This window comes from Homo sapiens, chromosome 1, assembly GCF_000001405.40.
Source record: "Homo sapiens chromosome 1, GRCh38.p14 Primary Assembly".
Classification (NCBI taxonomy): domain Eukaryota; kingdom Metazoa; phylum Chordata; class Mammalia; order Primates; family Hominidae; genus Homo; species Homo sapiens.
In genome coordinates this window covers 218418333-218444875 of record NC_000001.11, presented here as the reverse complement: position 1 = coordinate 218444875, position 26543 = coordinate 218418333, and the positions used below count along the sequence as shown (strand labels likewise).

At 38.9% G+C, this 26543-nt stretch overlaps 1 protein-coding gene and 1 long non-coding RNA gene across 5 annotated transcripts in view; both read right to left on the bottom strand.

Moving 5' to 3' along the window:
- Window positions 257-26543, bottom strand: part of TGFB2 (transforming growth factor beta 2) — a 99284-nt gene continuing 72997 nt past the window's right edge. For 2 of the 4 annotated variants that reach the window (NR_138149.2, NR_138148.2), the window contains 5 exons: window positions 10662-10794; window positions 10428-10538; window positions 8729-8791; window positions 7380-7533; window positions 257-3672 (listed from right to left, as the gene is read on the bottom strand). Coding sequence is in view for 2 of the 4 variants with exons in the window: in NM_001135599.4 (NP_001129071.1) it covers window positions 3514-3672; window positions 7380-7533; window positions 8729-8906; window positions 10428-10538; window positions 10662-10794 (735 nt within the window). In the remaining 2 variants the exon portion in view is untranslated. Of the gene's footprint in view, window positions 3673-7379; window positions 7534-8728; window positions 8907-10427; window positions 10539-10661; window positions 10795-26543 lie in introns of all 4 variants that reach the window. The other 2 variants (NM_001135599.4, NM_003238.6) reach the window with 1 other exon arrangement.
- Window positions 881-2250, bottom strand: TGFB2-OT1 (TGFB2 overlapping transcript 1). Its single transcript, NR_125715.1, has one exon. It is a non-coding gene; the product is annotated as a TGFB2 overlapping transcript 1 (long non-coding RNA).

The following is a 26543-nucleotide window of genomic DNA, read 5'->3' as shown; positions in this document are numbered from 1 at the left end:
AAATATAATGTGGGTTGGGGTGATAGCTCTGGGACTAGCCAGGCTGCACAGAAGCATGAACTAATGGGTTTAGAGTGACAAACTTCCTCTCTCTATGAGTTTACTATGAAAGATCAAACACAGATGAGACTGCAGAAAAGGGAACCATTTTCTCTTCTATCTCAATACTCGAATTGATGGTTTGTTTCTAGATGGTGTTTAGACAACACAACAGGCACACACTAGTTCTTTCACTAGACAAAGCAAGACAACCAGATTGAGTCACAATTACTTTTTTTATTAATCCTATTTATTAAGAGATTGGCAACTCGTTTGAGGAGTCTGGTCTTGTAGGTAGCAGCCAAAAAAATTGGAGGAAATAGGGTGGGTTTTTTTGTTTGTGGTGCAGTGGTACCAGTGAAACTGACAGGCAAGTAGCTGATCCCAAACAACCAACCCCAGAAAGCACGTGGCTCTTGTTATATCTGGCTGGCTCAGCAACTATCCAAGTTATGGGGCTACAGGGGATACTGTCTAGACCAGTTCTTTTGGCCCTGGCGTTGGCAGAACATAGAACCAGAAAGCCAAAGCATGGTGCAAACATCTCTCTGCATTTTTTCTGGTCGGCAGTCAAGCTGGATGGAAACTAAATCTCAAACAATTACCAAATAGCAATAAATAAGGGAATAAAAAGACGGCACAGGGATTTCTTCTATCCTTGATGGATATGGCCTGACTCTTGTGCTTTAAAGCATGACTTCTGAAGTGACTGTCCTTAAGGGAGAAAGCACAGAGGGCAATCGGAAAGGTGGTATGACTTTTCCAGCTTGAGATAGTCTTATTGCATCACAGGTGTTTTCTAGACTCGATGATGGTACTGATAGGAAAAAGACATCCACATATCATCGAAATAATTTATTTACCACTAGAGCACCACAAAAACAGACATACATCGTGTTAAAATACAGCGTAATTGGTCATCAAAATACAAAACAGCTAATCTTATATTCCATTTTTTAACCATGCCAACGATCAAATTGTACTGCTGATTAACACAAAAATAATTGCTGCCCACTTGCATACTAGCACTTCACCCCTTCCTTGCCACCTCCACCCCCCTCCCATGGCAATATTTACTTATGGGAAATAAAGACCTTACAGAACCCCCAAATTAAAAAAAAAAAAAACAGATTCAAGAGATCTTAAAATAGAGCATTTAAAATATTATCAGTGCATTCATGAGGAAAGACAAAATAATACAAAACAAAATGTCATCCTATCTGAGAGGAAAATGTCTGCAGAAATAAAAGTGATTTACACATAATAGAAAAGTGGAAGACAAAAAAATAATCAACACACACTCAAATCTGGGATTGGGTTACATCCAACACAAGGGCTGTTTACTATTATGGCATCCCATCTCTTGCTTTTCCAGTTTTCAAACTTGCAAATCCAATTCTTTAATTAATGGTCAGGAAATTCCAAAAAAGAAGTAGACCATATCAAACAACTTCACTTTGGATTCCCGCCTCCTTATGCTGCTCTTTAGGTGAAACTGCAAATATTCCATTGCTTTGCCTATTAATTTTTATTTTAAAGCTAAATAAGCGACAAGTGATAAACTGACATATTCTATTAACCCCAGCATGAGGATACCTCTTCTGCAATGATGTGGCAAATTATTTATTAAAGCAAGGTAAACTTTAGCCTCAGATATAGATAACTCTCACTCAGAGGAAAGAAAGAATTTTTTGATCATAGGAAAAATTGGCTTGTGCCTTTTCCCCTTCAAAGAACATTTATAAAAACCTTATAACTTCAGTGAAATACACAAAATGACTTATGCTGACCTGGACTTTTTTCCCCTTTTGAAAAATCGACTAAAATATATATCTTTCAATTTCCCCCTGAATATTAAAAACCTGACTAAAGAAAAAGATGTTTCCTATGAAGTGTCCTCTTTGTAATAACAATAGGATTTTACAAAAATATTGATTAAACCAAGGTAGAGAAACTTTTCTTAACTCAATAAAGATTCTGAGTTTTAGTTAGAACCCTAAATCCTTGCTAAAATGAAAACATTTTACTTCAATTTTCTATGTATCTATAACATTCCTCCTTTTCCTAACATAAAAATTTGTTAACGTCTGACTTGGTTAGTAATGATGCTTGGAAGATGAAGACCACTGAACTCGAACCCATCTTTTCTGTGAAACAAAAAAAAGAAAAGACAAGTGGACCCAGGTAGCTTATGTCATAATAATGAAAGAAACACAAAGCACAAGTAGGGCAAATGTTATTAAAAAAAAAATGCATTTGTAGTGCAAGTCAAACTATAGGGGCTTTACTCAAAAGTACTGGCCAGCTAAAAGAAACATACATTTGTGAGTGATCATTAAAAAGAGCCCAAATTTAAGTCAATCTAAATCATAGTTGACATTATTACAGAATATAAAAAATATGGTAAAAATTTACACATTACACATAAAGTAGTTAATGTTTTGATTTAATAGTTTGCAAAAGAGATCTGCAGATGTGTTTTCAATTATGCTGGCTTCTATATCCATCTATTTTAATAATATAGGTATGGTTACATATACCAAAACAAAGGAAAAAACCTATAGCATAGCTATACAGCAATATTTTAAGGTCTGAAGTTTGACCAGTACATGTCAAAACATTTCAACATTTCACTGGTTTACTAAACTGACAAAGAACCATTTACAATTAAAAAGAAAAAAAAAAACTTACAGACTTATTCTGACTGAAAGTTTCTTTTATTAACAGTCTTTTTAGTTTTTGGACCTTACAAGAAGCTTCCTTAGGCAGCTGATACATAACATGTGTTTTCAGGGTCTTTATCTTAATGCAGACTTTCTCGGTCATATAATAACTCACTTGGGTTTTCATCCCATTAATATGACCTCTTTTTTTCTGGCTCGTTTGAGTTCAAGTTCCTTAAGCCATCCATGAGTTTCTGGCAAAGTATTTGGTCTCCACTTTATACACCTGTTTTATTTTCCAAGGGCAATGAAACGTTCATTATATAGTAACACACAATAAATAACTCACTGTTAACTCTAAGAGTAAGAATGGGAAGGGTGCCTATTGCATAGCAATACAGAAAAATCAAGTGAGGCGCGGGATAGGAACGGTACGTACAGCAACTCCACTTAATGGGATTTTCCTGTTTGTTGTTGTTGTTGTTGTTGTCGTTGTTCACATAATTAACACTAATAAATTCTTCCAGTGTTTATTTTTTTCTTTAAAAAAAATTTGCTTCTTGTCTCTCTCACTTACAAAGTAGGTGAAATGTAGAATAAGGCCTTCAACTTTTTTTGTGTCAGATGCCAGTTTTAACAAACAGAACACAAACTTCCAAAGTGTCTGAACTAGTACCGCCTTTTCAAAAATTTTTTAACACTGATGAACCAAGGCTCTCTTATGTTTTCTTGTTACAAGCATCATCGTTGTCGTCGTCATCATCATTATCATCATCATTGTCATTTTGGTCTTGCCACTTTTCCAAGAATTTTAGCTGCATTTGCAAGACTTTACAATCATATTAGAAAGCTGTTCAATCTTGGGTGTTTTGCCAATGTAGTAGAGAATGGTTAGAGGTTCTAAATCTTGGGACACGCAGCAAGGAGAAGCAGATGCTTCTGGATTTATGGTATTATATAAGCTCAGGACCTGAAAGGACACAGGAGAGGAGAGACAACATAGGGAAAGACGGAAAATGAACGCAATTCGTTTTTAAAAAGAATTCCACATTGTTAGCAGTCACAGCACTGAGTAGGCAATTTAAAATTATTTTTGGTTGCTAATTTCCTAAATTACAGTCAAACTGATATGTGACCTTAGCAATCACCAAAGTCATTATTTTCCCACACGGAACTCGTTTTCCACACATCTTAAGCAAATGATTCTGTAAGAGTCAGATTGGAAAAAATTGCTCATTCAACAGATTTTCCCGGTTTTTCCAGTAAGTCTTTCCTCTGATCAGTGCTTGGCTGCACATACATCCTAGGTCCCCACAAAACTTGATCCTTATAGCATTTGGTCTTATTTCTACACTACTCTGTAAATGAAGTTGTTTCTTGAGTATACATTTCAATCCCATCTAGATTAAGAGCTCCCTCCAGATCAGGAACTCTACAGACTTTGCTTTTATCTTGTGGCCCTAGTAAGTCTTCTCTGGACAAAATGAGATTCATGTACTAAGTGAAGAAATGAATACATGAATAAGTAGAAGAATAAAAAGTTTTATCAAAGCTCTCATAAGAGCTTTAATCTACCTTTGGGTATAGAAAAAGACACCTGTATGCAATGTGAAATCTTTCTACAGGCTGGGCACGGTGGCTCACGCCTGTAATCCCAACACTTTGAAGGATCACTTGAGTGTAGGAGTTCAGGACCAGCTTGGACAACAGACCCAGACCCTGTTTCTTTAAATAAATAAATAAGGAAGGAAGGAAATGAAATCTTTCTACGTTAAGTGTCTCCTCAGGCCAATTTAAGGTATCCTCAATTTTCATTAAAAAAAAAAAAGCCTGTTTTTTTACCATTGCTTCATAAACACAGTGATGCTAGAAATGACATAAAAGTGATCTCTAAGATCTCCTATAAGAAATAATTATTCACTTTCTTACATTTTGCTTAAAACGATCATAATCATAATCACAATCATAATCAACCCTCCACTAACCTATGCGGTAAATGGTAGTTGCTGAGTTGGAGGAGTTAATGGCAAGTCTGAAAACAGAATGAAGAGACGGTTCTATAATTAGCCTTACACCTTCAACCCCATTCTGTATCAGAGGGGTGTGAGACTTTTACTAATGGAAGTATGTAGGTTCCCCACTGATGATACAGAGACATTTCCAAGGATGCCATTAATGTGTTAGTCAAACAGCAAGTGACCTTTTCCTCGAGATTCACTGCAATTTTTTCAGCCTAAGACAGAAGATCTGTTCAGCACAGCAACACTGACTACTTTATTAAGCTACCTCTGGCTTCTTGGGTAACTGTCCAAACCACATATTTGTGACCATGACAGTTATTCTTCCTCTCTCCTTGAAAAACAAGCATGGTCTCAGCCTTCACACACTCCCTCTGTGTATCAGAGAGGAGAATTATGTTTCTACTTGGCAACAGGGCCTTGCCCACATTACAGCTACTGCTGCCGCAGCCCAGAGGAGGCAGCCTGGCCAGAGAGCTCAGACAAAGGGACAGGCATGAGCAAGCTTCCCTCACATGGCCAAGCACACGGTCGCCCCCGAGTGCCAAAGTCTACAGGGGAGTTGGGAAAACAGCTGAAGGAAGAGGAGCCGTATTTGTCAATTTAAATTCCAGCATATGTAGGTATTTATAAATAAATATACTTTATGCTCCCTGAACACATGAGTTTTCATATGAACTAAAGAGGAATTTTTATAATACAGATTGTCTAAAATAATTGATAACCCCCAAACTCATGAATTCAGCTGAATGTAGTATGTGATCTTTTTTGGCAGCTGATCCATTTTCCTACCCTGCAGTGAAGGCAATTTTTCTAATGCTTCTTTAATAGGGAGATTTACAGAGGCATAAAGAGCAGAATAGAAACCCTAACGTGTAACCATATTTTAGGAATTAAACCCACTAAGATAGAGCAAATGGAGGCCTGGTTATAAAACAAGGAGGCCTGCATGCCAAGCCTTGGTTTGTCACTAATTTTCTGTTTGGTTTTGGGTATCATCTAGACTACATGATCTAGACCCCAATTTCTTTTTTTTTTTTTTTTTTTTGAGACAGGATCTCACTCTGCCACCCAGGCTGGAGTGCAGTGGTGCGATCTCGGCTCACTGCAACCTCCGCCTCCTGGGTTCAAGCGATTCTCTGCCTCAACCTCCCGAGTAGCTGGGATTGCAGGCACCCGCCACCATGCCTGGTTAATTTTTTTGTATTTTTAGTAGAGACGGGGTTTCATCATCTTGACCAGGCTGGTCTTGAACTCCTGACCTCGTGATCCACCTGCCTCGGCCTCCCGAAGTGCTGGAAATACAGGCATGAGTCACTGCGCCCGGTCCCCAATTTCTTTAAGAAAATGAAAGCGTTGGATAAGATGTCCTTTCTATCTCTAAAATCCTGATGAGCCATCAAGAGGAAGCATGTGAACAAATATCATTATTACATAGAAAAACTCTTCTCTAATCTTGCCGGAAACTCATACCATCCAATCTGGGAATTACCTTCTGAATCAACTCTGTCTTCATTGAAACAACTTGATAAAATACTCAGATTCTCATTTACTTTGTGTTACATTAAAAAAAAAGTAGAGAAACGAATTTTCAAGTCATTTTCATGTATATCATCTTTTGTACTTCATATCAACTCTTGAGTTTGGCATTATTATTTTAAAGATAACTTTTAATACAGACATTCCTTCTTACTGATAAGAAACTGAGGTTTAGAGATGTTAAATTACATTCTGTCATACATTAGTAAATTGATAGTGTATTTACTAATAATCACACACTCCCAGGCATTAACTGAAATCCCCAATGTTCTTTCTAATATAACAGTCTCTGATGGAGATGATAGCAGATTTTTTTTTTAGATGGAGACCTGGGTCCCTTCACACTTTATCTATATATGATACTATGTGACATATTGATTCTAAAAAGGGTGTTTTCTTGGCTATTTATGCTTATAGCTGTTAAGAATATAAAACTTATGGAGGCAGAGAGTAGAATGATGGTTACCAGAGGCTGGGAACAGGGTAAGGGTGAAGAGAAGTTGATTAATAGGTATGAAAATACAGTTAGATAGAAGGAATAAATTCTAATGTTTTATAGCACAGTAGGGTTACTATAGTTAACAATAATTTATTGTCTATTTTAAAGTAACTAGAAGAGATGATCTGGAATGTTCCCCAAATGAGGAAATGATAAATTTTTGAGGCAATGGATATCCTAATTACCCTGATTTCATCATTACACATTGTATACATGTATCAAAATATCACATGTACCTCATTAATATATGCAATTATGTATCAATAAAAATTGTTTTTGAAAAAGAATATAAAATAAAGAAAAAAGTAAACAAAACTTCCCTCCAGTTGTTAATAACTGGGCAGGTGAGACTTATGGTTTGTAACCGATCAGTGTCACTTTCTGATTTCACCTACAGTTAACATTCTTCCTCCTCATCTATTAGGGGAGTTTCTTGCCATTATTTTCAATGGCAAAAACTGCGAATACTTTTGCACCAACCTAATGAAAGATTTTTCTCCAGTACCCATACATGTGTGATGGTAAGACAGCACGAGGTTAATTACAACTCATTTGGAAATACTATCAGCAGGTGCACATGGTAACCCAAGAACAGAGGCAACAGGTAAGCTGAACACTCACCCTGCTGTGCTGAGTGTCTGAACTCCATAAATACGGGCATGCTCCAGCACAGAAGTTGGCATTGTACCCTTTGGGTTCGTGTATCCATTTCCACCCTAGATCCCTCTTGAAATCAATGTAAAGTGGACGTAGGCAGCAATTATCCTGCACATTTCTGTTAAAAAAAAAAAAAAAAAGCAATGGAGATTTTAAAGCTGATTCACCACCCTCACTCTACCACCACCTCACCCCAAACCAGAAAAATGATTCATTCATTTATTCAACAAACATCTAATGAGCAAATATCATGGGCCAGGTTTTAATGGCTTTATTGTAATCTCAAGTGACTTTCATGATAGGGTGTTGTATGTGGTGGTGATTTGCTGGACTACTTGCCCTTATGAGTTCTATACCCTGACTTCCTTGTCTGTGACCTGGAAAATCATACATTTACCTTCAGATGACCAGATATAAGCAGAGAGTGGCTGGGCATGATGAAGCCCTTTCCAATCAACACTGGGCAGTTCTGCCATCCAGCCTCTATTGCCCTTTCAAATATAAAATGAAAGAAGTACAACAGCAATTTTCAAACAACCATCTAAGGCGTTTTCCTTTGAGAATTGATCCTTTGTTTCACCACATGTTCTCTGATCTAGGAATGAACCAGAGATCAAGAAACATGGAGTCTTGCTGAGGGCAACCACTGGATCTGGCAACCAAAAAGTGCCACTTTACTCATGGCCTCTGACATTTTGAGCACTTCATCAGTGAGGACCCTTCCCTGTCCTGTACCTCTCAAAATAAGGAAAGAGCCCTCCTCTTACTGAGACCACATAAGAACATTCACATTCTCCCTCCATGCACTCATGTGGGAATGGGAAATAAATTCTTCTTGCTTCTCTCATATGCTGTTGCTAAAGGTGTGACACACGGCATTCTTCTGCTGTCTCATCTCTGTTACTATGAAAGAAGTGTGACTATCAGCACTTGGACTTGGTGAGGATGAAGGCATCATCCAGATGGTGGGTCTTTCTTAATTAAGGAGTTGACATCACACACCTCAAATAAGCTTTTATTTGTTCTGAGGAGCAGAGAGCTTGTTTTCTTCTTCAGCACCAAAGAACTTCAGAGGAATTTTGGGGAAAAAATTCAGGGGGTTAGTTTTCTCCCTTCACACTTGGTTCACTGCTAAAGACCTGATGAATATAAGCCTCTGGGAAGAATGGTATTATGAGACACAGGAGCTGTACTGCACTCTATCTGGCCTTAGCAGTGAGTTCCACTTGGGTCAATACACAGTAAAAGAAAGGGCAAAGGCAGTTTAAGAGTTAACAGATGCAATTACTTGGTTTTACTTTTCTTTCCTTTACCTAAAGCAATAGGCCGCATCCAAAGCACGCTTCTTCCGCCGGTTGGTCTGTTGTGACTCAAGTCTGTAGGAGGGCAATAACATTAGCAGGAGATGTGGGGTCTTCCCACTGTTTTTTTTCCTAGTGGACTTTATAGTTTTCTGATCACCACTGGTATATGTGGAGGTGCCATCAATACCTTGAAAAAATGCATTTGGGTAATAAACATTTAGCTTCACCTTCATCAAATATAGTCAGCCATATTTTTTTCCTTTGTATATTGTCACAAATAGCAGTGATGACCACCAAAGCAGCATCAGCTGGCAACAGTTATTCCCCATGGAAATAGATATGGCACAACAGGACTACGACTAACCCACGTGACAATTAACACTTCTAAATGGGGCTCTTGTCAGAAGGCAGTTCGGTGTCAAAGCCAGGGCTGTTGGTTATGAAAGTCACTACAGAAGCAGTCTTTGACCTATAGTCCAAGGGCAATCTAGGCAGTTTATTTTAGTCAATCCTCAGTTTAGGCTGCGTTCAAGCCCTCAACAACTGAACACATGGCAATAGAACATGCCTTGTCACCCGCTGGTTCACACTCTTCCTAAGACTACTAAACTCAAAAGACTTTCCTAATGAACATAAACTGAGACTTAACTGAATTGGAGTGAATTAGGTTCAAGTGAAACAGAAGTCACCCTTACCTAATGCTATTTTGGGAAGCTGTGAAGAAAGGGCTTTTTCATTTATTTTATGGCATCCTCAACACTTTCCTGATTCCATCTGAGATTTAGAAACTTGAGCTCCCCAAAGCATGCTCAAGAGACTGCCAGTTTAAGCATTTAATCTCCACACTCCAGAGAATCATGACTAGGTTAGAGACTGAAATAAATCTCTAGACCTCTGGGAGTATTTTTCCATGAGCAAGGGCTGCTGTAGTCTTCTAAAAGTGGATGGAGGTCCTGGGTGATGTTAGGAGGGCAGGGAAATCAATTCTCTGGCCTGGCATTGTGGGCAGATGCTGTATCGGCACATAGGCATGGATTTCCTCTCACCTCTCATCATCCAACAACTCATCATCTAATACATGAAGTGACTTGAGCCCTTGGTATCGCCTCACTCTCCATGACTTTTGTCCAACTTACTTAAAGGTAAGCGTGGGGAAAGCCAAAACATTTTTATGTGTTTATAAACTAATATAAAATTCTGATAAGGAACCCACTTGAAATACTGGGTATGGACTAGAAAAGGTGGAATGTTCTTATACATGGAAGGTTAGTTATGGAAGCTGTAGCAGGAGGAGACTCCTTTCTTCTGTGAAATACGGTTGTCAGTTCCTGACATTTGGTTTGGGGGATTATCAATGAATTTTCTTAAACACATTCTATCTTTCTCTATAATATCAGTATAGATGGAAAGTTGGTTTGCTACAATGAAGAACAAAGGCCTTAACTTACTACTGGAGGGTTAATGAGTTAATCAGTTATTATTGACCAAGTCATCACTGGGCATTGAGAATTATAAACTGGGAACCTATTCCGTTCTTCCAATCCTTTCTCCCTTCACATATGTATATCCAACCATATCACTGTCCAAATGAATGAAACTCCCCAGGCCTTACCAGTCTCATTTTCACATGCAAACTGATTTTATCCCCCATGAGATTATCAATATAGACCCTTCCCTCCCCCACCTCATATGACCAAGTTTTGGTTACCTGCAAATCTTGCTTCTAGTTCTTCACTTTTATTTGGGATGATGTAATTATTAGATGGTACAAAAGTGCAGCAGGGACAGTGTAAGCTTATTTTAAATCCCAGGTTCCTGTCTGGAAAACATTAAGTCAAGGAGGTCATTTGTATGTGTGTCTATACCCTTAAATCTGCAATCAATTTAAAGTAACTTAGGGATACTGAACATCTTGGGAGGAAAAGAGAGAGTGGCTTGTAACCTTTATGGTGAAGCCATTCATGAACAGCATCAGTTACATCGAAGGAGAGCCATTCGCCTTCTGCTCTTGTTTTCACAACTTTGCTGTCGATGTAGCGCTGGGTTGGAGATGTTAAATCTTTGGACTTGAGAATCTGGAGGGGAAAAAGAGCAAGAGAAAAGGCTGAGTTGGCATTCTGACAGCATGACTAAACCAAAACTATTAACAGTGTTCTAATTCATTACCTAAATTTAGCTCTACTGTAGTATAGCCATGCATTGTCATCTCAATTGCATGGTCACATGCATAAAAACACAACACCAGGCTATTTGCCATGAAAAAATAGCTACTAAATCAGCTGCATGTTATGATAAAGGTGACAGGAACCATAAAGCCAAGTGTCTAAAAGAAAGTGACAGTAATTATTTTACTTTGCTGACATAAGCTTTGCAAGATTTCAGCCATAAATTCTATGCTATTAAGTTAATGGTTTTCTTGTTCTGCTTCCCTACTTATTTAATTTGGGGAGTTGGGGTACAGGAAGGGACAAGAGGAGAAGTCCAGTTCAGAGGACCCAGGCTCACTCTCAAAGGCCCTGAATTATAAATCTCCTTCTAATAAAGAAAGAACGGTCCTAACCTTGGTTTCCAAATCCATTGCCATTAAAATATGTGTCATGCCTCAGCTTTTGAGGTAAGTCCCTAGCTGGGATATTTTACTCTTAATGTGATTTGTTATGATTTATAAAGGTATTCCATCCCCTGCAGACTCAGAATGAATCTCAGCAGAAGTAGTTTGGTATGGTGCATAGATGAATATCTGAAAGCAAACCAGCCTAAACACTGAGGCTTTAGGAAGATGTATTTATCTCAGGCTGGGCGTGGTGGCTCACCGTAATCCCAGCACTTTGGGAGGCTGAGTTGGACGGATCACTTGAAGTCAGGAGTTCAAGACCAGCCTGGCCAACATGGTAAAACCCTGTCTCTACTAAACACAAAAATTAGCCAGGCACAGTGGTGGGCGCCTGTAATCCCAGCTACTCGGGAGGCTGAAGCAGGACAATCACCCGAACCCGGGAGACGGAGGTTGCAGTGAGCCGAGGTGGCATTACTGCACTCCAGCCTGGGTGACAGAGTGGGATTGCCTCTCAAAAACAAAAAAAATAAAGAAAAAGTTAACATTTCAAGAAAGGTGTATTTATCTCAAATGAGTAAAGCGCAACTGTAGTATGTTCCTAGGTTTCGAAAGGAAGTGAATATTTTAGGTGGTTTTAAAAAAATTCTATTTTGAAATGATAGTGGTTTTAGGAACTAAATCATGATTCTAAGTCTACTATAGTAAATCCCTACTGAAACCCTGTATGCTGCCTTTCCTCAGTACTTAGGGGTTCAAGCTGTCATTTTTGTACTACTCTTCCGGATTTTTGTACTACTCTGTTTTGTGGTCATTCCATACCTATGGGCTTGGTCTCTCCAGCAAATTCATAAAACTTCCCAGGTCAGGGATCATGTCTTCAATTTGATATCGTTTCAAACCATAGCACTCAATTGAATCAATATCTATTAAATGTTTATTTCAGTATCTAGAAGATTTATTAACTATCCTTTAAACCTTGTAAAACAAAAATGCATCATCTTTCCACTCATCTGAAAATGTACTTTCCTTCCATGTGTGTACATGATTTGTTTCAGGTAATTTGGCAACAGACGCTTCCTAAAATACTTGCCATAATGGTAGACTTTTTTCTGGATTAAGTAAATATAGAAAAGGAAGGAGATTCATACAATTAGACCCTTGGGTGCCCTCATGAATTTTACACAAGACTTATTCTACAGATCTGCCCCTGTGGTCCAAAACCTCCACTAAAAGAAGAGAATGTGGAGGCAACAATGGCTCTATGATAGGTAAGAAATGTTCTTTGCGAATTAAAGAAAGCAGATAAACATGACTTGAGGGCTGGGTACACTACGCTCTGGGCTTGGCATGCATTATTTTATTTTATTTAATCCTCAAAATGTTCCTGTAGGGTAGATTAAGGAAGCAAACTCAAGGAGGTTAACTAACTTGCCCAATGCCTCCCAGTGAACAAGTGTGAAGAGATGATCCAACTCAATCCCGAGTCATTTTCCCACTTCAGTGCTGGATTTTTAAAGGCCAAACAAGTTATTGAGTCAAGAAAACATTCAATGACAGAGGCAAAGATTTTTAAATAAGATTAAAATAAATGCTGGTACAAGATGAAAATATAAGATAGTGGAACGTATACACAATGAATGTTGGCATAAAGCTACAGCTTTAAAGATACAGCTTAATAGCAGTCCATCTCCTAGGAATCAAACCTTGCCTTGAAAATACTCCCAGTTGGGAAAGTAAGACATCACTTATCTAATTCTGAATAAATGGTATAATTAACCTACTATGGAACAGGAATAAGAAAAACAATGGTTGAGAAGCAGTTTTCAGGCATTCTGATCTGCCTCATTGACTAAAAACTGGTAACATTCACAGAACTCATCGTTTTGTCTCTAAATTCTTCCCCTAGCTAATCTGCAACAGTGCATTTTTACAAAATGCTTTGCATATTTCTGTGCTGCTAATTAGCACAGTGTATTATCTTATTCACATAGCTAACATTTAGACATACTACCTAGAACTAAACATTGTCTCCATTGCTGAATTAATTACTTATGATATACATGTCAAATGTCTATGACATATACATACATATACATGTATATATGTGTGTATATATATGTCCAGTTTCACTAAAGACACAGAATTTTTAAAAATTATGGCCATATCGACCAAATAAGCAGAAAAGACACATAATGCCAAATCTATATAAATCTTCCACCTTATAGAAAAGGAGTACATTTAGATTATCTTACTTGGAAAGAGTCCAAAGAGCAGCAAAGAGACTCTGAAGCTTTTTCTCTTTTAAATCCTACTAGGAGAACTACGATAAGAGCTTCCTCAACCACAGAGCACTGGTAGGCTCAGAAAACAGACAATCTCATCCTCTCACTTGGGTGAAAGGTCCTCTGGATCTTTTTCACTAGCTCCAGACTCATGAACAGGCCACATATAAACCACCCAAGAAATACAGTTAGTTAGCTACATAATTCTCAAACACAGTAGCGACTTTTGTCTGGTGGATTTGTTGTCTTGAACTTCATGGCCAAAGAGTTCTTAACCCACTTGTTGCATGTTAACTCCATTCTTCTTATCCAGTCCTTAGTGGAAACAGGAAACAGCTGCTTTCCATCACTCAGAGAATATCCCTCATATTCTTGGAGACTATGATTAAGTCCCCCTCAGCGTGCTTGCTTGCTTTCTCTAAACTAAATAAACCCAGTTCCTTTAGACCATATTTAAAGGTGTAATTTCCCAAACCTTTAATCATTTGGGTTGCTAACAAGGATGAATGATGCTATATAAAAGTATTCCTCCTACAGCTTCATGATTTTGCTTCAGAACTATCTAGAAAACCTTCTAATCACATCGTAAAGTCTTGAATCTTAACTTGAAAGGTATCTTCTTCCTAAGAATAGGCACAACCTCACTATCCTCTGTTTATCTCCCATTTATCACCCACACTAAATTGAACTGTAAGAGAAGAAGGCATGGAAAATCAACCTGCTGCTTACATTCAAAAGTTTATACAGGAAGTGACCAGATCAGTCAACTTCCCATTCTATTTTAGCCTTTGCTGTCTGTCTTTCTCAGGTCTCCAAACAACAAGAGTATTGAATGTTAGTAGTTGTGGATATGTAGCTGTTAATTGTTTTTCTAGATTCATGAGTCATTTGCTTCTAAATTTCTTTATACTTTTTTTTTTTTTGAGACAGGGTCTCACTCTATCACCCAGGTTGGAGTACAGTGGTGTGATCTTGGCTCACTGCAACCTCCGCCTCCAGGGTTCAAGTGATTCTCTCGCCTCAGACTCCGGAGTAGCTGGGACTACAGGTGTGCGCCACCCATGCCCGGCTAATTTTTTATATTTTTAGTAGAGACGGGGTTTTGCCATGTTGCCCAGGCTGGTCTCGAGCCACCCACCTCAGCCTCCCAAAGTGCTAGGATTACAGGCTTGAGCTACCACGCCCGGCCTCTTTATGTATCTTATCATGACAAAGATAATTTAGTTGAATAGTAGAAGCTCTCTTAACTGGCCTCCCCTTAACTGGCCAGAGTAACCAGCATTCTCCATTAATTCTGTGTTTTATAATATATATTGGCTGATGCCCAAAGCACACTGGGGATCATTGGGGAAAGTTACTCTCCAAGCACTTCCACTCTTACCAGTTGAGTTGTATGCTTAACAAATATCAATTTTATACATTTCTTTTTTTCCCTAGAAAGCATGAAATGATATACATTTCTAAACCTGCTTATGACACTTGGACTTGTTATTGTAATTATGCAAGTTAATTAAATGGTCTAGAAACTGATGAAATGCAGGACCAAAAGTAAAGAGAGCTGTTTCTTCTCCGAAAGCCAGTTGACTGTCTTGGAAAGTCTTCATAAAGACAAGTTCCTATAGGAAAGAAAGTTTTTTGGAAAACAGTTTGCTAGTTCCTCAAAAAGGCAAACATTGAATTACCCCATGATCCAGAAATTCCATTCTTAAGATATATAGCCAAAAGAACTGAAAGCTGGCACTCAAGCAATACTTATACATCAATGTTCATAGCAGCATTACTCACAATAGTCAAAAGGTGGGAAAAAATTCAAGTACTCATCAAGAGATGAATGCATAAACAAAATGTAGTACACTCATCCACTAAGATATTATTCAGCCATAAGAAAGAATAAAATTCAGACACATGCTACATGACATGGATGAACTCTGAGGATTATGCTAAGTGAAATAAGCTGACACAGAAGGACAAATATTGTGATTCCACTTACAAAAGGTACTTTAAATAGGCAAATTCATAGAGATAAAAAGCAGAATAGGCCAGGCACAGTGGCTCACGCCTGTAATCCCAGCTCTTTGGGAGGCCAAGGCAGGTGGATTACCTGAGGTCAGGAGTTTGAGACCAGCCTGGCCAACATGGTGAAACCCCGTCTCTATTAAAAATACAAAAATTAGCTGGGTGTTGTGGCACACACCTGTAATCCCAGCTACTCGGGAGACTGAGGCAGGAAAATTGCTTGAGCCCAGGAGGCGGAGGTTGCAGTGAGCTGAGATCGTGCCACTGCACTCCAGCCTGGCTGACAGAGCAAGACTCTGTCTCAGAAAAAAAAAAAAAAAAAAAAAAAAGATGCTCATGGATAGGGAGAATCAATATCGTGAAAATGGCCATACTGCCCAAGGTAATTTATAGATTCAGTGCCATCCCCATCAAGCTACCAGTGGCTTTCTTCACAGAATTGGAAAAAACTACTTTAAAGTTCATATGGAACCAAAAAAGAGCCCACATTGCCAAGACAAACCTAAGCCAAAAGAACAAAGCTGGAAGCATCATGCTACCTGACTTCAAACTATACTACAAGGCTACAGTAACCAAAAAAGCATGGTGCTGGTACCAAAACAGAGATATAGATCAATGGAACAGAACAGAGCCCTCAGAAATAACACCACACATCTACGACCATCTGATCTTTGACAAACCTGACAAAAACAAGAAATGGAGAAAGGATTCCCTATTTAATAAATGGTGCTGGGAAAACTGGCTAGCCATATGTAGAAAGCTGAAATTGGATCCCTTCCTTACACCTTATACAAAAATTAATTCAAGATGGATTAAAGACTTAAATGTTAGACCTAAAACCATAAAAGCCCTAGAAGAAAACCCAGGCAATACCATTCAGGACATGGGCATGGGCAAGGACTTCATGTCTAAAACACCAAAAGCAATGGCAACAAAAGCCAAAATTGGCAAATGGGATCTAATTAAACTAAAGAGCTTCTGCACAGCAAAAAGAAACTACCATCAAAGTGAACAGGCAACCTACAGAATGGGAGAAAATTTTTGCAATCTACCCATCTGACAAAGGGCTAATATCCAGAATCTACAAAGAACTTAAACAAATTTACAAGAAAAAATCAAACAACCCCATCAAAAAGTAGGCAAAGGATATGAACAGACACTTCTCAAAAGAAGACATTTATGCAGCCAACAGATACATGAAAAAATGCTCATCATCACTGGCCATCAGAGAAATGCAAATCAAAACCACAATGAGATACCATCTCACACCAGTTAGAATGGCAGTCATTAAAAAGTCAGGAAACAACAGGTGCTGGAGAGGATGTGGAGAAATAGGAACACTTTTACACTGTTGGTGGGACTGTAAACTAGTTCAACCATTGTGGAAGACAGTGTGGCAATTCCTCAAGGGTCTAGAAGTAGAAATACCATTTGACCCAGCCATCCCATTACTGGGTATATACCCAAAGGATTATAAATCATGCTGCTATAAAGACACATGCACACGAATGTTTATTGCGGCACTATTCACAATAGCAAAGACTTGGAACCAACCCAAATGCCCATCAATGATAGACTGGATTAAGAAAATGTGGCACATATACACCATGGAATACTACACAGTCAAAAAAAGGATGAGTTCATGTCTTCTGTAGGGACATGGATGAAGCTAGAAACCATCATTCTCAGCAAACTATCGCAAGGACAGAAAACCAAACACCGCATGTTCTCACTCATAGGTGGGAATTGAACAATGAGAACACTTGGACACAGGAAGGGGAACATCACACACTGGGGCTTGTCCTGAGGTGGGGGGAGAGGGGAGGGATAGCATTAGGAGATATACCTAATGTAAATGACAAGTTAATGGGTGCAGCACACCAACATGGCACATGTATACATATGTAACAAACCTGCACATTGTGCACATGTACCCTAGAACTTAAAGTATAATAATAAAATAAATAAATAAGAAGAAAAAAAAGAAGCAGAATAGAGGTTAGAGGTTAGTAGGGGTGTAGAAGGTAATTAGAAGGTATTGTTTAATGGGTACAGAGTTTCTGCTGGCGATAAAAAAAGTTCTAGAAATGGATAGTGGTGATGGCTATACAATATTGTGGTGAATGTACTTAATGCTGCTGACTTGTATACTTAAAGGATGGTTAAACTGTAATGTTTATATTATGTATATTTTATCACAATAATTTTTTTTCTAATTTTAGGTGTGAGAGAGACAGCTACAGAAGAAATAATACGATAAAAAGTTAGAAGAATCCTACACTCAGGTTGCTCAGCAATTGTCCTTAAACATCTCTACTTCAGAAAAATAAAAATAGAAATTGTAGATGATGCACTATAAATGTGATTTATACAAAACAAAATGACATGGATTGGTAATTGGCACATCCATGTCAAAGAAAAGTCCTTGGCCTTTCACAAAAAGAACTCAGCCTCAGCATGTGAATGTGTATGTATACATCCATATGTACATACATATATATTTGTTTTAAGTTTTAAAAATTTAAGGTTTGCATCTCTCTCTTTCTGTTTCTCTCTCCTATGTTTTTCTAATCCCTGGCTTTAACTGATTTTTTAATCTTTAACTGACCAACAACTGTTTCTGATTGAATTAGAAAAGGGGGCTTCTCATGTATTAAAAATAAGATTTAGCTGTCTTTGGCTTAGCTGCCACCCACAGTGATGTTTGAATGCCACCTTCATTACATTACTGATATATAATCATTAGATATAATATGTGTGAAATACCCACATATCGCCTTCAGCAAGGCTCCAAGCTCTTCATTGAATTACACAACTCCCTACACAAAAGCATCCATTCATTTCTCTGCCATTGGAAAGCAGCCAACTGGGCAGTGGATAAAGGTGAAAGTCACTGATGTTACCCAATAGTTTGAGGGGGGAAAAAACAAGTAGAAGTCTAGATGCAAAATTATAGCCAGAAGAAATCTTAACCTTAAAATAAAAATGCTGTAAAACAACTCAGGACTTGGGTTAGACACTAAGGGCAACATCTCTTACACGTCTATGAGACATTGCAAAGAGTTATAAGAAAGCATTGGGAATTCAATGTTACTTTCCAAATTCATACATCAACAGATCCACAGGAGACCATGGGGCTATTCAATCAGACTTCTAATGCAAAGGGAATTTAACTATAGTGCTGTAGAGAAAAATTGACACCAGGTTCATTAGTGTGGGCCCATCTTGTTTTTAAATGCATTTAATGTTTTTAACGCTTTAAATATGTTTAATCATTAAATATCTTTAAGTGTGTTCAGTGTTTAAATGTATTTAAATGTTTTAAATGTTTGCAGTGACTTGCAAGTAGTGATGAACAAATGATGAATCAAACATTCACTCTGCTGGCTGTGAGCACGAGTCTCTCAGATCTGCCTGACCTCAAGTCATTCACTTCAGCATTATGAAATACTGGCATTGGCAAGGCACTTTGAAACCATCTGCTTCAATCCCATACAGTTCATTCTCTAACATCTCTTTGTCTAAAGGCCTCTCATGACCGTGAACTCACTATTTAATGAGAAAGGTCGTCCCCCTTTTGGACAATCCATATTGTTGAGATTCTCCATTATCTTGGACTTAAAATTTCCATCAACTAGTCTTCCTTAATAATAGCGCCATTGCCTCATATTTGTACAACCATTGTAGTTTTTCAAATATTTGAACTTTTTGCCATGTTTTTAGCCCTTCACAGAAATCTTGTGGGATGAACATCATGGCCCTTATTATCTGCATTCTAAAAGAAACAGAAGACCAGGTCGGGCACGGTGGCTCACATCTGTAATCCTAGCACTTTGGGAGGCTGAGGTGGGCAGATTATGAGGTCAGGAGATCAAGACCATCCTGGCTAACACGGTGAAATCCCGTCTCTACTAAAAATACAAAAAATTAGCCGGGCGTGGTGGCTGGCACCTGTAATCCCAGCTACTCGGGAGGCTGAGGCAGGAGAATGGCGTGAACCCAGGAGACGGAGCTTGTGGTGAGCCGAGAACACACCACTGCACTCCAGCCTCCGTGATGGAGCAAGACTCCAACTAAATAAAAAACAAAAACAAACAAACAAACAAACAAAAAACGGAAGCCTGAAGCACTTAGGTGTGTTAACAAAGCCCTTCAGGAAGAGCCTGGACTAATGTCTTTCCCTCTTAATACCAGTGGAGAAGGCTTTCCAATATTGTTTTTCGCCCTCTGGAGCAAGATGTAAAATTCTTTCTTTTCCATGTCAGGCTCTAGTCACAAGAGGTGGCTTCCCTCAACTGATCCCTTTAAGGCAAAAGTTCAAGGTGTGTCACCATCCTTGTTAAAACCCTTTCCAATGTCTTCTTAAAATTAGTTCCTCAACAAACTCCAGATATGGTCTAACAGAATATGGAGATATACAGAACCTGTCAAATGTGAAGAGGGGAGTAGCTATTGCTTCCCTTGTTCTGGTCACTACTTTTAATGCAAACTATTTACTTTTGGCAGCAGCCACAACACATCATTGAGTCACAGAAATTTTTTTGTAAAATAAAACCTTTGTTCTTATTCACAAACTGTTGTTAAGTCAGATTTTTCCACTCCAAATCCTTTCTGGAATGAGGTGGAATAAAGAGAAAGAAATAATGCAAAGCAAGAAGGGAGGAGGGTTGGTCTTTCTAGCCCAGTGGTCTCCAATGTTAGCCTGCTTCAGAAACATCTGGAGTGCTCATTAACACAGATTGCTAAGCCCCATCCCCAGAGCCTCTGATTTAATAGGATGAGGTGGAGGCCCAAGAATCTGCATTTCTAACAAGTTCCCAGGTGATGTAGAAGCTGCTAACCAGGGATTACTCTGAGAACCACTGCTGTAGCCTGTATTTATATAATTCATTTTTCAAACATAAATGCAAATTACACATATATATCTGTTAATGTTGAACTCTATTATCTGACCCAAGTTTTAGCCTTTTGGAATCTCTCTGAATTTTCAGTTTGCTATTCAATGTATAAGCTACTCTTCGGAGCCACAGAGCACTAGCAACAGTGCAGCCAATGTCTTCATCATGTTGGTGATAACAATGTTAAAATCATAAGGCCAAAACCAGAACCTGTTGCTGGCTTCTTAGTTACCTCCTTCCTGGTGGCCATTTCTGAAATCAACACTCTGTGATATGCAGGGTATACAGCAGAAAAAAGTGGAATTTCACTCATTGACTAAGGGTCCTGGCCATCTGGGCCACCTGACAATCAATCCATTCCATTTACTCAGTGGTCCCTTAGAGTTCTTTGAAGAAGCCATAGGGCTGTGCCAAGTGCCTTTGAAAATCATTAGCGTAGCGAAAAGGTGCAGAGGCTTTGGAGTCAGACAAGCCTAAACTATGGCTTACTGGATCTATAATTCTCTCATCAATGAAAAGGAATAGTAAAACGCACCTTGTATGTTTGTCGAGAAAATTAAGTGTCACGGAGTAGGGAGAGCATCAGTCACATTGCCTGGTATTCAATACGTGTGAGTTATTGTTATGATTATGTTCCCTACCTTGTCAAAAACTTTCAGAGGCTTCTAATGCCTAGTGAATAAACTCCAGATTCCTTAGTTCAGTATTGATAACACAACTGGCCACCAACCTATCATCTCACACGCGCCTTTCATCCCTAGAAGCCTAATCTAAACAATATCTCTAAAACATGGATTATATACTCCAAACTTCCAAACTTTGGCTTCTAACTAGCAACCCTATCAGAATGCCTTTCCCTCCTCCAGTTTTCTCCTAAAAAACAAAACAAAACAAGCCTTTCCACTCTTCTAATCCAAACTTGAAGCCCAGTTTTTCAATGACATGCTTACTTTCACTCTAAACTAAAGTCAGGTCCCTTTCCCTAGTTCCCCATGCAATGCTACGGGATTTGCTGAGCATGTGGTCCCTTGCGCATAGTGGCTTCAAGGGTAATCCTGGATGTGTGGAAATGTCCATTTCCTCCAATAGAATATTAAGCCCATACAAGAGAGAGGGAAACATAAACTTATTTAAATCCCCACAAACCCTTATATTTTGGTTTGCTGACACTGGTAGAATACATATTCATTGATTAATTTTGGAGAAATCTGACTCTCTAGGTCAAAACCGTGTTATTAAAGACCAAGATTTTCTCTCAGGCAGACAGGCACAGAGAACACACTCTTGTGAGCATTTCTTGGCTTACCTACAGCAGGAACAAATGATTCTCCAACACATCACTCCCACATCCATACTCTGGAAGGCTTTCATTGGCTTTGGAGGAGCCTTTTACCCTCATTCAAAGTAATAATAATAACTAATAATATTCAAATATTTAATATGATCAGTTAATTTGTTTGTTCAGTCATTCATTCATTGCCGAGCATCTTGTATGCACTTGAGTCCTCATTTATTCATTTGTTTGATTTTATTTTATACCTCACTTCCTCCAGTTTAGTTCAACAAATATTAAGCACTGGCTGTAAGCAAAGCATTGCATTATACGTATACCCCAGGATAATAAGATGGTGCCTGTTCTTAAAGGAGTGCATTGGGTAGTAAGGGAATATAGACATCTCAACAAAAACTTAAAACGATGTGTTCATAGGTTACCAGGAAATGTTACAGGCAGGGCATCTATCCTTGCCAGGTAGATGAGGTCAGGGAAGATTTCCTGTAGAGAGGAGAGTGTAAAAGGATGACTATGAACATCCAAAAAACCAGCACTAAGAGAACACAGTCCAGGTAATAGGGATGTGCTGGTTCATTAGAAGGGAGAACAAGGCCAGGCGTGGTGCCTCACGCCTGTAATCTCAGCACTATGGGACGCTGAGATGGAAGGATCGTTTGAGCCCAGAAGTTTGAGACCAGTCTGAGCAACATAATGAGACCTCACCTCTATGAAAACATTTTTAAAAATTAGCTGGACATGGTGGTGCACATCTGTAGTCCCAGTTACTCAAAAGGCTGGGGCAGGAGGATCTGTTGAGCCTGGGAGGTTGAGGCTGCAGCGAGCCAAGATTGTACCACTGCATTCCAGCCTGGGTGACAGAGCGAGACTCTGTCAAAAACAAAAAAAAAGAAAACAAAAAAACAAAAAAAACAAGAAGAAAGAAAGAAAGAAGGAAGGAAGGAAGGCATCCTCCTCTCTCTTCAGTGCCCTTTTATCTTTTCTAACAATATATACTAGGATTTAGGGAGAGTTGGCTTGATAGGTGTATGGGTAACCTAGAACTGTAGTAACAAAGTACCACAAACTGGGTGACTTATAACACTAACTTATCCTGTCACAAATCTGGGGGCTAGAAGTCTGAAATCACGGTGTTGGCTGGGCCATGATCTCTCTGACGCCTCCAGGGAGGATCCTTCTTTGCCTCTTCTAGCATCTGGTGGTTTGCTGGCAATTTTTGGTGTTCCTTGGCTATAGTTGCATAGCTTCAATTTCTGCCTTCATCTTCACATGGCAGGCTCCCTGTGACTGAGTCTTCACATGGCTGTCTTTTTATAAGGACACCAGTCATACTGGATTAGGGACCCACCCTCCTGCAGGATGACCTCATCTCAACTAATTATATCTGCAATGAGCCTATTTTCAAATCAGATCACATTCCAAAGTACTGGGGATTATGACTTCAACATATCTTTTTTTTATGTGTAGGGGAAGGGACACAATCCCACTTCTAACAGTAGTGATTCATAAATTATACTGTGGGGAGTATAATGCTCAATCTAACTATGAGCTCCTTCAAAGCAAAAAATGTTCTTTCTCTCTCTTATTACCCCCACAGAGTATTTTTCATGGCAGCTTACCCAATCCCTGCTTGGTATATTCTTATTAGTTAACAGACTTCATTAGAAAGACACATTTGATCAAGTGACAAATAAGCCCCTGAACAATCGGTCTTTTATAGTGATAAAAAAAAAAAAAAACTGCTTCTTGGAATTTTAAACACATCCAGAAACCCACCACAGAGATTATATATATCAAGAAGGACAGAAAGAATTATCAGACAGAATAAGCAATTTAATACTGTATTTTACCCTTTCTATTTATTTCATTATAAAAATGAAATGAGGGAGAGAAAGCAAGAAAGAGAATTTCCAAATAATAGCCAGTGGAGCTTTATAGAGAATCAGAACTGGGTACAGTGGCTTTTATTTCAAGGAGGCACAAATGGAGCTCTCTCTTCCTGTCTAACTGTAGCCTCCTTGATTATGCTGGGTCACTTTGGGGGTGCCTACCACACCGACACACTGCATGATTATCCTTCAGAAGTGGCTTAACACACCCAGTACTTACCTTGCTTCTGCCATCACCATGTCCTGTAATTGTCATGGCTCCTTTATAATTGCATCTGTCTAAGAGGTCGTAAGTAATGTATACCTGGCAAGAGCTTCACGAGGGCCTTCAGTCAGCTCCCGTGGAATACATATCAGCCTCAGAAGACTGAGAATACAAGTCTCTTTGGAGCTCAGATAGCTACATTATTACATCACTACGTGAACTCTTTCGCTTTACAGTACAGAGTATTACACATTGATATACACCTGTATTATACATACCCATGTGAAATTATGATACAGTATGGCATACGCAGACCTTTGATGACCTTTATGGAAATGTCACTAGATGTGCCTTCAAGTTACACACATACACACATACACGCACACAACACACATGCACACACACACAGAAAAGTCTCTCCTCTGTGATGAAATACCTTATAATTCCCTATTGTTTCCTTCATTAAAAAAAAAAACTTTACAGATGAACCTTTGTGCTGAATGCACATGTGCATAAACAAGTAAATCCATTTCTCCAGGTTGAAGGGATGAAGGAGTCCTTTGTGTGAACAGAAAGTCTGTCAGATGCTGCAGCTCAGTAGCATTCATGAGACCATCAGGTATAAATCACACAAAAGAGAAAAGGATTCAACTGGACTAAAGCCACATCAGTATAGACCAGGCGAGAGAGGGGTGCAGTACAATACGTAATGGTAGAATTTGAAGGAGAATTAAATCAAGACTGTACTGTCTTTTTCTTAGCTGAATTCCTACAGTCTTTGAGGCTGTACCACACAGCCCAGCAGTATAAATTTTGACAATGACCTACCTATTTCCTGCCATTGAGGGAAAGACTGTCCACAAGACCTCAAGCTCTCTGGAGCCATATCTTCTAATTTTTTATTTGACCTCCCCCTTCCAATTCCACTCTGACTTTAACACTAACACATGTGAACTTGGGGAGTAGACTTCTAACTTGATTCCTACCTCCTGGCACCTATAACATATGTGGCCTGTACTATAATTTAAGTGAGCACTTTAATTTAGGGCATGTGACTATAAACTAACAAGCCCAAATAAATAAATAAAGAGCTTGTTTTTTCTGAAAACATCAAGTTTATGGGGTACCCAAGAATATCAGTTTCATTAATTTATTACATAATTTTATTTTATTTTTTTACCTACATGGTTATTATCTATTAATATTAAATACTTCATCAGAATTAGCTCTGAATAAGTCACAGAAGATGCATAGTTATATACATTTCTTTCTTCATCAATATTTAGATATCTTTAAAACAAATGGAGCAGAATTTCCAAATCCGAATAAATGAGTGATGTTTCTCAACAGAATCCCCTTTATAAGTTACATACTTATTTGAAGGACATTCCTTATAGTTGAATCTTATTTTGACATTTTAGTTAAATTCATTAAAAAACACTTATTGAACACCCACTGTGGACCAGACACATCTCCAGTAGTTTATGGCTAGAGGTAGAGATAAGATTATAAACAACATAAAGATGGAATAGATCAAATATGGCAGATAATGAAGATTATCAAGGAGAAAAGCACAGTAGACATTGGGGCTAGGATGTGTTGGGAAAAGCGACTCTGAGATCTTAGGTACGGTGGCCAAAGAAGGTCTCCCTGAGCAGGTGGTCTCTAAGGAAAGACCTAAAGAAATAAAGAGAACCAACCATATGGGTAGTTGGGAAAAGCACTGTGGGTGGAGGGAACAGTGGCCACAAGCCACAGGAAGGAGTGAGTGCAGTGTCTGAGGAAGAGCAAAGAGGTCATTGACAAATGGGGGAGCCCTATGAATGAGGGGGAAATTATGGCTGAGGGGTGGGTGACTAAGGAACAGGTCAGAGCCAGCCTCCTAAGTCATGGTAAGGACTTGGCTTCTACTCAGGGTGAGATACGAAGCCACTGTAGAGCTTTAAAGAGAAGACTTTGATCTGACCAATATTTTATCAGGAATCACTTTGATTGCTATGCTGTAAACAGCTGCTGAGGGGGTGTATTAGTCCATTTTCATGCTGCTGATAAAGACATAGCTGAGACTGAGCAATTTACAAAATAAAAAGGTTTATTGGACTTACAGTTCCACTTGGCTGAGGAGGCCTCACAATCATGATGGAAGGCAAGGAGGAGAAAGTCACATCTTAAGTGCATGGCAGCAGACAAAGAGAGAGAGCTTGTGTAGCAGAATGCCTCTTTTTAAAACCATCATATCATGAGACTTATCATGATATCATGAGACTTATTCACGATTACGAGAACAGCATGGGAAAGACTTGCCCCCATGATTCAATTACCTCCCACTAGGTCCCTCCCACAACACATGGAAATTCAAGATGAGATCTGGGTGGGGACACAGCCAAACCATACCATTCTGCCCCAGCCCCTCCCAAATCTCATGTCCTCACATTTCAAAACCAATCATGCCTTCTCAACAGCTCCCCAAAGTCTTAACTCATTTCAGCATTAACTCAAAAGTCCACAGTACAAAGTCTCATCTGAGACAAGGCAAGTCCCTTCTGCCTATGAGCCTATAAAATCAAAAGCAAGTTAGTTACTTCCTAGATACAACGGGGGTACAGGCATTGGGTAAATATAGTCATTCCAAATGGGAGAAATTGGTCAAAACAAAGGGGCTGTAGGCCCCATGAAAGTCTGAAAT